The sequence below is a fragment of the Homo sapiens genome, chromosome 5, assembly GCF_000001405.40.
Source record: "Homo sapiens chromosome 5, GRCh38.p14 Primary Assembly".
Lineage (NCBI taxonomy): Eukaryota > Metazoa > Chordata > Mammalia > Primates > Hominidae > Homo > Homo sapiens.
The window spans coordinates 80,556,755-80,570,944 of NC_000005.10; the positions used below are offsets into that span (position 1 = coordinate 80,556,755).

General features: G+C 43.3%; 1 protein-coding gene across 7 annotated transcripts; it reads right to left on the reverse strand.

The window, feature by feature from the left end:
* On the reverse strand, positions 1-13,526 carry ANKRD34B (ankyrin repeat domain 34B). 7 transcript variants are annotated; one of them, XM_047417142.1, is made up of 5 exons: positions 13,400-13,526; positions 12,206-12,323; positions 9,935-10,017; positions 6,981-7,061; positions 1-3,288 (listed from the first exon to the last, which is right to left on the reverse strand). In XM_047417142.1, exon 5 carries the CDS (start codon positions 3,263-3,265, stop codon positions 1,721-1,723), a length of 1,545 nt encoding a protein of 514 aa, XP_047273098.1. In that variant the 5' UTR covers positions 3,266-3,288; positions 6,981-7,061; positions 9,935-10,017; positions 12,206-12,323; positions 13,400-13,526; the 3' UTR covers positions 1-1,720. The 7 variants fall into 7 exon arrangements, with proteins under 7 accessions (XP_047273098.1, XP_006714662.1, XP_011541668.1 ...); XM_006714599.4 differs by having other exon boundaries at positions 9,935-10,020; XM_011543366.3 differs by having other exon boundaries at positions 12,206-12,353.
* Between the last annotated feature and the right edge of the window lie 664 nt (positions 13,527-14,190).

The following is a 14,190-nucleotide window of genomic DNA, read 5'->3' on the forward strand; positions in this document are numbered from 1 at the left end:
TGATATTTAAAATCTTTATTGATACCATTTTGTTTATGAACTAATCTATTTACATACCCTTCCAAATTGTATCCTTACAACTTGAAGTCAAGTACTTTTCTCGATATTTAACTTGCAGAAAGCATTTAAATACCTATAAATATCAGGTACAATTCTAAGTTCTGAATCAAAAAATATTTCTAGTGTAATTAATATTAATGTTGTTCAAGACATGAAATGGAAAAACCTCTAATTACTTTTTAAAATAAAAGCCACAGTAATTAAATAATTACTATGTACATTACAACTTGCTTATATCAAATTACCAAGAAAAGCATCATGCCAATTGTTAGGATCACCTCTACTTGGAAGGCAAAGAAAGTTGTACGTGACAATCATCAAATTAATACACTTAGGTTTTGTATAGTCTGATTTATCCTTTGTTGTTAAGCTGCTAGACTGAAATAAGGATTCTTTGTATAAACATCATACTTTGAAGTTATATAGATGATATAATTATTACTTTATAATATTTTATAATACTAATATGGTATTCATTAATTTTGTTGGAAGTTATTCACAGGTCCTAAAATACTAAATGATTGGAATGTCACACTAAGGAAGTTATCCTTAATATATAAATGTCTAATAACTACATATCAGAAATAAAAAGGCATTGTTTAATATTGCCAAATATTTAGTACATTTTGTGATTAAGTTTCTACTGCCTCTATTAATTTTAGCTAACCTAATCTAATCATCAGTTTTTCTTTTTAAAAGAAGGCAAGCGCTTAGTTTTTATCCATGATGAATTTTTTTTTTTTGGTTCTTTTTGAAAGACAAGAATAATTTGATATAAGTAAAGAGGAATGCTTTTTAACTTTTATATCATCTTGTCTTTGGAAACTTATGGATAAGCTTCCAAAACTAATAACAGGAATTAAAAGATGATATGGAGAAAGAATAATTCCTTAAAAGATATGGAGAAAGAATAATTCCGTAAGATAACTTTACAGGTAAGTCTGTTTAAAAACCAAAACAAAGCAAAGCAAAACACAGTGCACAAACAACAAGACCCGGCATAGATTACTAGTAGGTTGTAAAACTCTGACTTGCCAGTTTGACACTAATTAAACTGACACCACGAATATTTTAGTTGCCCATTCTAATACAGTGTTTAACCTTTTAAATTTTTAATTAGAGTTTTATCTATCTTCAGTCAACATTTGTAAAGAATTAGTTCATTCTTTCTTTGTAGCTCGAGTTTTTTTATCTTAGAACATTTTACAGCTGTCGGTGTTTTCTTTTATGGTTTAGAGATCATAAAAAATTTCAATCTCATTTATTAACATGAAATGTTAAAAAAATTATTGACTTGAAAACTGTTTCCTAATAAAATATTTAGCCAATCTGAAAATTTTTAAAAATTACCCCAACATACGTGGCCTTCTTTCTTTGATTTTTTTTTAATGACAAATTTGGACTACATGGAGATTGTTAAATATTAGAAGCATTGAGAAAAATCGCTTTCCTTTTGTTTGAGAGAATTCCCTTAACAGAAACTATGTATTATTTTTTATGCTCATGACGCCTAGTACAAATCACATTACATTTTAATCCATCTAGCCATTATGGACTAACCAATCACGAGATTTAAAAGAATGAACATTTAAGATTTCTTCTCTAGTTCTTTGTTTCTCTGATATAAACATTTGAAGAAGATGTGTTTTATACCCATCTCCTAGAAGTTTACTAATTGCTTAATTTGTTCAGTTTGCAATGATTGTCTCCTTAACAACATTTTCTTACTTTTGAATTCTTTAGGGAAAATCGGAACTGTTGGCATAAGCACTTTTTGACCACAAGAAAGAAGGCTGCAAATCTTGTTGTTGACATTGATATCTGAGATGGGAGGGTGAGAATTTACATTTAAGGGTGGGAGAAACCCTTGTCTGGTTTGGGTAACACTGTGATCTAAAGGGAAAGCTCCTGAACCTCGCCTTTCTAAAACTGCATGATTTCTCCTGCTCAGGGGACCTGGGGGGATATTCTCCAACAATTCTTTGGACTCTGACAATTGGGAAGGAGATGGTGAGAGGATCTTTTTCTTTCCTATAAGTGCTTTGCCGTCTTCTGAAGTTGGAGGGGTAAGGCCAGCTGAGAGCTGGGAATCAGAGCTGTAGTGATTTGCCCCCAAGTTTCTTTTTTGAACTATACTTCTTAAGGTGGAAGCAAATATTGTCTGGTTAGAATCTGGGTCCTGGTCAACAGGGACTTCAATGCATTGCTGATTTCCTTCTGAAAGATAAGATTGACAATTTATTTCATCATATGACATCTTCCTTGAGCTGGCCTGATCAAAGGCTCTTAGCAAATGTGCAGTGTCTTTTACATCAATGCTTTGGTGCCTAGTGATGAACCGCTTGGAAAGTGCCAGCCCATTGGTTTTATAGGATAGTTCTTCCTCTGGTGTAATATCCTGGAGCTCCTCTTGCAATGAAGCCACTCTGTTCTGGTGCATTAATAATGGGGGACTCTTGACCCAGGGTGGAGCGTGGGGGAGCTTGGGCCCCTTAGGGGCCAATGCAGGTTTCCTCACAGGGGAACCTGGGTCCCAGGTATCATCATTGCTTCCAGCAAGCTCAAGATCTTTAAAGCCAAAAAGCGTCAGTTCCGTTTCAGAAGAATGTGAAAGTGGCGATGAGGCAGTTTTGATGTCTATTTCTGAAGGAGTGGTGCAGGTAGCTGGGGAATGACACCCATCTATATCCACAGGAGGCATATTTAAGTATTGTTTAGTAGTATGCTTCCCACAGGGCAACTTTGCTGTTGTGATGATGATGACCTCTTTCCCTTTTGCCTTGCAAGCACTAAGAAGAACTTTCAGGGTCTCTGTATCTTCTGAATTTATAGCATAAACAAGAGCTGAGTAACTAGAATGGTCTTGCAAGCTGAGGTCAGCCCCACTCTTGAGGAGCAAGGAAACAACTTCAGGGCCAGCTTTTTCTAAGCAAGCATGCATCAGAGCCGTTTTCCCAGATTTGTCCTGTATGTTGGGATCGGCATTGTTCTCTAACAGGTATTTCACCATTTTGGCTTTACTGACACTCTGGTGATCGACATGTTTGGTCTTACAAGCGATCATTAAAGGGGTTTCCCCACGGTCGTTGCTCTCATTAATGTAGGCACCGCCTTCTAGCAAAAGTCTTGTGAGGCGAAGCCGGCTCTGATGGACTGCTTTGATCAAGGAATTTCCTTCACTTGAAATTTCCATACCTTCATCCATCTTCGGAGGTTAGAACTCAATACCTGGTTATCAAAGATGGCAAAGACCAAAAGATTAGCCAGAATCAGCATCCCAACTTATATTCATTTTGTCAGAATTAATTTTGAAAATATGTAGGGGACATAAATGGGATCATGCTATTAATAAATGCAGAACAAAATAGTGAATTGCAAAATAAAGTAAATTTTTGAATAATAATGACCTTTAGGAAATTACAAATTAAAATTTATTTTCAAAATCTTCATTGAATATTTATAGCACCAAAATAGTACTTTCCTAAGTCCCACATTAATTAAAAAATAATTTACCTGTGAAAAATAATTTTTAAATTAATAATATTAAAAAGCAAATTTAGGACAAGTACAGTGGCTCACATCTGTAATCCCAGCACTTTGGGAGGTTGAAGCAGGAGGATTACTTGAGGCCAGGAATTTGAGACCAGCCTGGGCAATGTGTAGTGAGACTCCATCTCTACCAAAAATAAGTTTTAAAATTAGCTGGGCATGGTGGTGTGACCTGTAGTTCCAGCTACTCAGGAGACTGAGGCAGGAGGATCACTTGAGCCCAGGAGTTTGAGGTTACAGTGAGATATGATCATCCTACCTGCACTCAGCCTGGGTGACAGAGTGAGAACCTGTCTCTAAAAAAAATTAATTAAAATGTAAATTTTAAAAAGTAAACTTAAGCCAAAAAGCCAAAATTCTGTTGTCATTGCAACTGAATCAATTAAAATATTGGTAGCTTAATGTAAAAACTTTAGTATTACATTACTTAAACATGCTCTTCAATTAAGTAATGCAAGTGATATCTAGACTTTCAATTTGAGGGACATTTTTATGTTTCTTTTGAAGGACGAAATATTGTTTGGGCTACAACGTGTTAAAATAACTGACATAATATCTGAAATTCACACTGAGATTGGAATGGTGAGCATGTGATTACGCATTTCTCTTGATTCTATTATTTAAATCATATACTGACCACATAACGAGGTTAGCAAGAACTATAGGGTTAAATTTTGACAACAGTATATCTGCTCTGAAAAAGGAGTTTCATAGGCAAGAAACCTGAAAGGAGCCATCCAGACTTTGTAAACATTTTAATTTTTGTTATTGAAACTAAAAAATATTTATGTTTAATTTATTTAAATATTTTAGATTTAGATTCCTTCAACAGATAATTCCATTAGGTGGTAAGAATTATGTCTTCATCGAGGACTAAGAAAATTTTTGTCTTTTAACAGTCCTTAGAGTTGGGAGGGGGAGAATCAGATGAATGTATATATAATATTTACATCTGTTTCATTGATTCAGTAGTTTTTGGAAACTGAAAACTATTGTTTATTCTACCTATTTACTTTTAAAATTAAGATTATGGGAAATAGATTTCTATTTGATAATAGAATAGATAACAAATCTAATAACCAAAAGAAAGAAGAGATGAAGAGAGCAGAAAGAAAGGGAAGAAAAAAGAGAAAAGTAAGCATGCAGGCAGAAATTTCATTGTTAAACATCTACAAGCTCCTGACATGTGCTGGGCACTGAGCTACAAAGATACAAGCCCTATCTCTGAGGAGCTCACAGTCTTTTGGGAGAGATACTGTATAAGCAGCTGGTTACAGAGTCAGGAGAGCACAGAAGCTTTAACATCCTGGGGACCAAAAGGGGCTTCACAGAAGCCAACTATTTGAGTTGGGTCTTGAAGACTTTGTAAGAATCTGGCAGGCAGACAAAGGAGGAGGGAGAAATAGATAATACTCCTTTTGCAAAGACCTAGAGGCCTAAAATAGCGGTTATTTATAAGGAAACAGACTTTATTTACTTGGTTACAACCAAACTTCAGGAAAATATTTTAGCAGATAGTTAGGGTTAATATGGCAGAACACACACATCTAATTTTGCTTCTTCCTGAAAATCCTTAAAACCAAAGAATTTTGTCAAAGACAAAATTAAAGACAGAGGGAAGAGGAGAAGATGGCAGCAACAATATTTTGGAAGCCAGAAAGCAGATGAGCCAGTAGTAACTGACTCAGCGTGTGTGTGTGTGTGTGTGTGTGTGTGTGTGTGTGTGTGTGTGTGTGTGTGAAGAATACAGCTAAAATAAGGAGGAGTAGGTGAAAAGCTGTCAGATAAGCAGTTAGATTCCTAGGTCCTTGCTACTTGAGGTGTGATCCTACCCTGGCATCACCACCACCAGAAAACTCTTTTATATGCAGAATGTCAGCTCCACCCCAGAGCTACTGAATCACAGCCTATATTTTAACAAGATCCCCAGGTGATTTGTATGCACATTAAGGTTTGAGAAGTGCTACCTTAGGTCACTCCTCCAACTCCACTAGGCAGTCACTAGGAGATAGAAGACTACCCCTCCCGCTCTCTGGGATGTCTAGAGGTTTATTCTCAGGAAATGATGAAACAGAGCATCTCTGGACTTGGAGACACCAGGCATGTTTGAGAACAAGAAAACAGGGGAATAAGTGATTGCTTACTGACCACGGCTGAAGGGTCCCACAGCCTGCTTCCCCAGCTTGGCTTCGAGGAGGCCGGCAGCCACGCCCTCAGCCCTCAGGGATAAATTGCTATAGTGTTCTCTCAAGAATCTGACATGCCACCCAGGTCGTACTTACATTTGGTGCCACCGCGCCCAGCCTGTTCACTCACTTTTTAACATTTAGTAGAGAACTTTTGAAATTGTCTAAACATTAAACTTGTCAGGGAAAAAAGGTGTCAGATACTTTATTCTCCAAATGTACCCACATGTTTAGGTTCTTTCTGTAATCAGTACCCGAAATGAGGCTGAAAACGCAAGCCTCATTTGTGTGTTTAAGGCTTCTCATCAGCTTTTAATCCCAACCCTTTAACCATGAGCAGCCACACCAAAAATTTAAAAACAAACAAAAATGCCTCTTACATTAAAGATAGAGACTAGAACAAACTGAAAAAAGCAACTTGGAGGAAACATATTAATCGGAAAAATGAAAAGATGAAAAATTGAAAAAGATGAAAAATGAAAAGCTTTTGTCATACACTGGCAATATTGTCCTTTCTTTATTCATCTAATTTTGTACCTGCTACTAAGTTTTTAAAAAATAAATAATTATTTTACTTAGGGATCAAATATAAGGGGGAACCTGAAAAATTTTTTTAAAAGCAAAGGGAATGATTAATACAAACATCAAGAGACAGCTACTCCTTGGTAGAGATTAGGAGAACAATGCCGTTTGGGAGGGACAGAGAGAGGCCCGAAGGTTCAGGTGATGTTCTATTTCCCAGTCTGGGTGGTGCATAGGTGGGTGTCCATTCTATTCTTCTTCTTTAAACAGTACGCATTTCATGTACTCTTCTATATATCACTTTTATTTACTTATTGTAAAATAGAATGTGTGTGCAGAAAAGAGCATAGCATATATGTGAGATATACTTCATTATTAAAATTTACAAAGAGTCCTATTAGGTCTTCCTTTTAAAAGAGTCATTCAGTTCTCATGACATTATCTATGACATTTGTGCCTTGACTTTCACTGGAGTTTCAACAACTAAGCTCCTGAAAGGCAGTATTCAAAAGGACATAGTGTTCATCTCCACTGCAGTATCATTCATGATGCAAAGCAAAGAACTACTCAATATATACATACATAAATGCAATGAGAGTGAATGCTTTGATTTTATGTCCCCTGTGACATACTCTATAAAGGCTATCTTGGAGCCAGACATACCTGCAAGTCAGGAACTTAGGAATTTGGGATCAGTTGACAGCTTGGGTCCCAACTCAGAGGTCTATTCTGAATGCAAAGCATCTGAAAAGAGCTCACATGAGACAGTGATCACAAAAGGATCATTTTAAAAGCATTTTTCATATATAAATGGGCTTAATAGATCATAGAAATGTAGAGAAATGAGCTGGAATGTAATATCAAATATAGAAACTACTTAGTAATTGCAATTCAATTGCTATACAGTATCAGTCATTTAAAAAAATTGTTTGACCAAAAGTAGCATTTGAGAAACAGATATTCAAATGAGAACAAGTTGCCAGATACCAGATTTCAATATTATACTCTCTTAGAGTTTCTAGTGTTTAGGTCAATCTTGTTTTTAGTTTTTAAAGTCTTAGCAGAATCTTTAGGGGAAGGTATTTTACTTAAAACATTTTTTTAAATATTTTATTTTATTTTTTGGCACAGGTTCTTGCTATATTGTCCAGGCTGGTCTTGATCTCCTGGCCTCAAACGATCCTCCCACCTCAGCCTCCCAAAGTGTTGGGATTACAGGTGTGAGCCGCCATGCCCAGCCAAGACTTTCTACTTTTCAGCTATCATCCTCCAGTAAAGGCCTTTCTCCACAACACTAAACCTGAGCACTTACTGTCACAGCTTTTCTTTCACCAAGGTTGGTGTCAGGAGGTTCTGGGAGAAGAAGAGGAGCCGGTACTATGCTGGCGACGGCCGTGCCTAAGGAGGACAGTGGCCCCATCACAGTCTTGTGGAAAAAGAGGGTGCTGTGGGCTCCAGGGTCTCAGAGAAGTTGAGCAGTGGAACCAACTCGCTGCCTAATCCACCTGCAATGTGGACATAGGCAGACCCTCTCCTCTGAGGACTGGGGGAGTGTCCAGCAAAACCAGCCCCATGAGGTTGACTTTTTCCTCATTATAAAGACTTTTAAAGCCACTTTGTTTGCTCACTTCTTTTTTTTTTTTTTTTTTTTGAGATGGTGTTTCGCTGTTGTTGCCCAGGCTGGAGTGCAATGGCACAATCTCGGCTCACTGTAACCTCCGCCTCCTGGGTTCAAGTGATTCTCCTGCCTCAGCCTCTGGAGTAGCTGGGATTACAGGTGTGTGCCACCACACCCAGCTAATTTTGTATTTTTAGTAGAGATGGGGTTTCTTCACGTTGGTCAGGCTGATCCCGAATTCCCAACCTCAGGTGATCTGCCTGCCTCAGCCTCCCAAAGTGCTGGGATTACAGGCGTGCGCCACTGCGCCCAGCCTGTTTGCTCACTTTTTAACGTTTAGTAGAGAACTTTTGAAATTGCCTAGACATTAAACTTGTCAGAGAAAAAAGGTGTTAGATACTTTATTCTCCAAATGTACAATACATGTTCAGGTTCTTTCTGTAATCAGTGCCTGAATGGAAGAATCCCCTTCTCTTTAGCCCTTCATCCTTTTCCAGGGGTTCTTTTATCTCACCTTCTCCATTTGTACATCAAAAACACTGATATTTATGTCTGACATATTTCCTTTTCATAGAATTGAACTCTACTTTTGACGAAGACCACTTCTCTTGCCTAGAACGTTCTTTCCTCCTTGGAGCATCCTGATTGGACACTGAGTGCTGATAGCATACTAACATCCAGTCAATCCCTTTGTTATGTCTAGACTATAAGCAATCCCCAAATTCAGTTGTACCTTCGATACAGATAATAGTTCAACTGCAGAAAGTTCAGGCATCCGACAGGTGTCAATCGTGACTCTCACACTTATTGGCTATGTGCCCTGATCAAGTCTCTCAGCCTCTAGGAGTCTTGAGTTCCTCATGCGTGGAATGACAATCATAGAACGTGCATTCCATGGGGATGTGGTAATGAAATCAGACACTGTCTAGAGAAATACTTTCTTGTTTTGTCTTCACACTCACTGCATTCTTCTTTTTTAAAGTGTTTATCTCAGAATTAGCTTTGTGAAATGTTTATCATCTCTCCAATCCATAGCCTATTTAAAATAACAGATAAAATACTGGAAATGTTGTTTTTTAAGGATCTCATATTTCTAAGATGCTATGCTTCTTCTCATTTGGTAAACATCAGTGGAATCTAATAAGCAAAACATGGAAAGAGCATATCCTTTAAGTATACTTCCCTTACAATTTCCAAATACTATCATTTCGACATTATTACAAGATATTAATTATTAAACAGCTGGATAAACTGCTTTTCATTCAAAAATTGCAGTGTCTTTAATATCACTTGCACCTCATCATGGCATATTTACGATGCTCCTTTAGTTCCTCCCTCTATGCCCAAGATGCCACCAAAATAATAAGCACTGAGTTATTTTTAAAAAATATTTTAAATATGTGTATTTTTAAGAACAAAGAAAATTGGAGGAGAGATACCATTAGATGAGCAATTTCAAACAAGCTCTGGAAATGGGGGGATGGTGGAGTGGCAAATGGCCTTAGCATAGCAGAGGAGGCTGCAGGACATAGACCCAGGGAGGCTGCTTACCCACAGGACCTGTGACATTTAGGACTTAGAGGTCCCAAGTGCCATAGAAAATGGCAATGAGTATCAGGGCTTAGAACAAGAAGATGATTGAAAGTCTGTGAACAGAACGACTGGACCCCTACATATTCTATCCCACCCCAGGAATCAGACAACCACTTTCCTAGGCAAGAAAATGAAGATTTATTTTCTAAATTGATCAGAAAGGCTCCAAACTTAGAGGCAGCTTGCTGAAAACAGGGATTCAGTGAGCATGTGCAGGCCAAACGTTGAAGTCCCCAGCTCCTTGCCCTGCTACGAGGGGACTGGAAGCCAGGAAAAGGAAGTAAGACACATTGCATCTTGGAAAGATGAGCCCTATTAAAAATATCTGTCGATACATGAAAGAAATTCAAACCATAACTGCATTCACCCTTCCAGACACCCACTCTAAATGGAAATAGAAACTTACCTGAAAACATTATTCAAAATTTCACACTTCACTTTTGTCTCTTCTCTCCCTGGATAAGTTTTCTGTCAGCCAGCTGTCAGTTCCTACTGAAGGAAATCAAAGCTATTCAGAGTTACATAAACACCAATAATTTGTTACATGCATCTTTCCCATTTGGAGTCTAGTTTTTAAATTCCTTATTAAGAAATCCCCCAATGTTTGCTCAGTTAGTCATATCTCACTGATTATGAGTTTGTAAAGTGTCTGGAGATTCTATGCACAGCAACCCCGTGTGTGTCTGCCTGCAGGGCTGAGTCTGCCATGCGAGGACTGCTGGGGTTGGAAGGGCCTCGGCACTCACTTGGTGCAGATCAGGAGGCTGAGAAAGGAAAGGTGAGGGCACTCTCCCAAAGCCAATCATCTTACTCACCTGTTTGCCAGAGGTCAATTACATGTTTGTGTCCTTTATCTCAATATCACCTTGCTTCTTGGATGAGCTTCGCACGGAGTAGGACTGTTTTGAGGGCCTGATTTGTGTGTTATCTCACATGGCAGTGCTGCATGAGCTGAGGTGCTTGCAAAGCCATCTTGGAGACGATAGGCCAGGCCTTTCCTGTGGCTTTTTGTCCCCATGCCACCCCCAGTTTTCCTTTCATTAAGGCAGAAAAGTGGCCGGGCATGGTGGCTCATGCCTGTAATCCCAGCACTTTGGGAGGCCGAGGGGGAGCGGATCAACTGAGGTCAAGAGTTTGAGACCAGCCTGGACAGCATGGTGAAACTCCATCTCTACTACAAATACAAAAATTAGCCGGGCATTGTGGCGGGTGCCTGTAATCCCAGCTACTCAGGAGGCTGAGGCAGGAGAATCACTTGAACTCGGGAGGCGGAGGTTGCAGTGAGCCGAGATTGCACCACTGCACTCCAGCCCGGGTGACAAAAGCAAGACTCCGTCTCAAAAAAAAAAAAAAAGAAAAGAAAAGAAAAGAAGGAAAAGTTATTTTCTTTTGAGCCTTTCACTCTACCTCCAAATAGGATCCACGCTTCCTCTCATAAAGTTCATCATCTGGCCATGGTGGGGAAGAACTTAACAAATGGGTTTGAACTCAAAATTCAGCCCGTCGCCCTTGCCCCAGTCCCTGCCTATGTGCTGCCCCAAAGGGGATTAAAGACTGCTCAGATGAGGCAGCAGGGTGCGTATCAGGGACCTGGGCTCCGGATCTCTCCAAGTTATCAACCTCTGGGAGGTCATTCTTCTGAGCCTTAGTTTCCTCACCCCTGAAATGGGGATAATATCTACTTTACAGTAGATGATTGTGAGGATTTTAAAAGATCCGAACATACTTGCTACTTACGAATTCAATAAATGTCCATTTACAAACATGCATCACCAAATACAGGCACTGCATACAGGAATCCTCAGGACTGATGGGGTCTGACGATGGGATGCTAAGTTCCCTATACCAATGGGTTCTTCTTTTGTGGGCATAAGAAACACATGGAGTGCCTGTTAAAAAGAAAATTCTAGGCTCCACTCCCACATATTCCATGGGAGGTGCTTCTAATGCACACTTGGAGAAAATCTGAGGCAAACTCTTCATTCCTCATTCCAGGCCACTTCCTGTTTGCTATGGACCCCTGCCTCAGATTCACACAGAGCTGTCTCCGACATTACTTCCAAGTGGTGCGATGCTCGGCTCCCCTGCAGGAGTGAAAGGCAGAGATAGATGGCTGCCACAGCCTAGAGACGGGTCCAGGGAGCTCACAGGTCCCAGAGAAGAGGACAGCCTTGAATTAGTAGAATGGGCCAGGAGCTGGAGGTTTGCTGCCCTGCCTTTCCTAGACGGGTTTGAAAAAACCCAGAGCCCTAGTGGGCAGCCGAAGGCCAGGAGGGAGGCCAGCTACACTGGAATAAGGCAAGCCTGCTTGCCACAAGCAAATGTGTACCTCCTCCCACCCAAGGAAAGGGGCAGAGACAGAATAAAAGATGCATCTGAGGTCGTCCTGGAAAATGGAATGACTGGCCAGAAAAAGATTCTTCCCTGGTATTGACTTGCAAGAAATATTTAGAAACTGTCCAAGGAGACGCGTAGCTGGTAAGGTTTGCTGTGTTTCCCACACATACCCGCAAAGGGCTGCCGTGTTCTCCTAGTTACTTCGGCTGTCCCCCAGGCCTTTGGGGCATCTATGCCCCAACCTCTGTTACTGATTCACCTCCCCCCAAAACACACACACACACACACACACACACACACACACACAGAGAGAGAGAGAGAGAGAGAGAGAGAGGCCAACCTAGTCCTCCAAGTCTCAGGGAACCAAGGTGATGGGATTTCCAAGCTGTTGAGGATGCTGGCAGCGTCTCCACGGTCCCCGCCGACCCCTGGAACCAGGCGCGTTTCCTCAGTTTTTCCTGAGAGCAGGAGGAAGCGAGCTCAAGGCGCTGTCGGAGAAGGGCAAAGGAAGGTGACTGGGGCGACAGCTCCAGGGCACCGATGGGGGCGGGGTGCGCGTTTCGTCGCCTCATCTCTGAGCCAGGGCAGGCAGCTGGCGGGCTAAGGCGATCACCATCCATGAAAACGGGTTCTGCCCACAGCCGCTGCGGAGCGGTCCCTGCGCCGCTCGCCCGCCGGCCGGACGCGGCCCTCCCTTGGGAAATGGTGCGTCTGAGGGGCGCAGCCACTGCCCCCATCCCGGAGCAGGCGCACCTCTGCACCCGGCTCTCTGCTAAGGGGGTCCGGTATCCTGGTGCCAAGGCTGTGCGCACCTGAGAAGGGCGGGAACCGGCTGCCCGCCCCTGTGTGGCTCCTGGAAGCAGGAGCTCCTGGAAGCTGCAAAGGGCTCCGCAGTCCCCAGCCCGCCCCCAGCGCCCAGCCGGCACCTCCTGCTGCCCAGCTGCCGAGGCACCTGCGGAGACGCGCCCAAGTCAGCCCCTCCGGAGACGCGCCCAAGTCAGCCCCTCCGACCCGCGCGCTCTTGCGGCCCAGCGCGCGCCGCTCCCGCTGCTGCGCCGACCTTCGCCCATCAGGCCCCCCGCCCCGCATCCTCCTCGACACCCCGCGGCCGGGCAGCCCTCGCCGGTTCCCGCCGCTCGGCGAGGCTGAGAAGGAGGCGGAACCCGCATCCCCGCGGAGTCCAAGCCCCAGCGGCCGCAAAACTGGAACCGAGAACCAGTGGGAAAGGCAGGAGGCGCGAGGGTGAGCTCGCGTGGAGCGCGCCCCGGGGTGGCGGGGCAGAGTCTCTCGGGAGGCCCCTGCAGCCCGGCGGCCCTCGGCTGGCCCTGGGTCTCTCATCCTGCTCGGGGCACTGCAATGTCAGGGTGAGCGGGAGGTGCGGGCTTCAGGGGCTTGCGCGCACCGGGCAGGGAGCACTGAGGCCGTGCGGGCCGCTGGGTTCCACGCTGCGCCCTCGATGTCCTCCTCCCGGCAGCCGCCACTGCAAGCCAAAGTTTCCCAAGTGCAGCCGGCAGGGACGGCGCCTCACACTGACCTGGGACGCGCTGTCGAGTTGGCGGCGGCGCTTTCAAACCTCTCTCCGGCACTGCCCGACCCTCTGTGCGGCCCTAGGGCGCCGTCTGAGCTGAGCTGTGGTCTTCGGCTCCTCGGCGCCTCGAATCGCAGATCTCGGTAGATGCCGCCCAGTCCCCGCCCTGCTTGCGGAAAGAGGCGGGCGACTGCCGCGAAGCGCTGGAGCTGGGACCCGGAGCGCACACCTCGCCAGACGCCCGGGCAGCGAGGCGCTTCCGCTGGGGGTGACGCGTCGGCTCCAGGCTCTGCGCAGGTGAGGGCGGCAAGGCTCCTCTGGACCCAGGGGGGCCAGCAGCTGCTGGAAGCTCCGCCTTCTGTCCCCGTAAGTCCCACCCCCGTCCCCCGCTTCGGCCACCGCGCTTCGGCCACGGCGACTTGGCCAACAACAGCGGCAGCAGGGTCTCCCCATTGAGGGAAGCACGCACCCCTACGTCACGGGCTTTGGCTCCTCCAGTCCGTATCCCTCCCCTCAGCTCACATCCACCCGCTGGTTCATGGGTCCATCTGTCCCCACCGGTCCTTCCACCCCTCCGCATCCCTGTACCCACTTCAGGTAAAGCCAGAGCCACACTTCAGGTTGGGGTGTTAGTGGGAACAACCGTTCTTATTTACGTCTTTAGGAATTTATAAGGTTATTATGCTATTATTAAAACATGAATAAACATATTAACAAAATTTCGAAAAATACATTTCATATGTTAAACTCTACTGAGAGATGAAAAGGAAATGAAGCAGAAGCAACTTTTTCTGTCG

Bases quoted from the DNA above. Each gene is read 5' to 3' on its own strand.
- ANKRD34B (XM_047417142.1), bottom strand. From the start codon at position 3,265: ATGGATGAAGGTATGGAAATTTCAAGTGAAGGAAATTCCTTGATCAAA.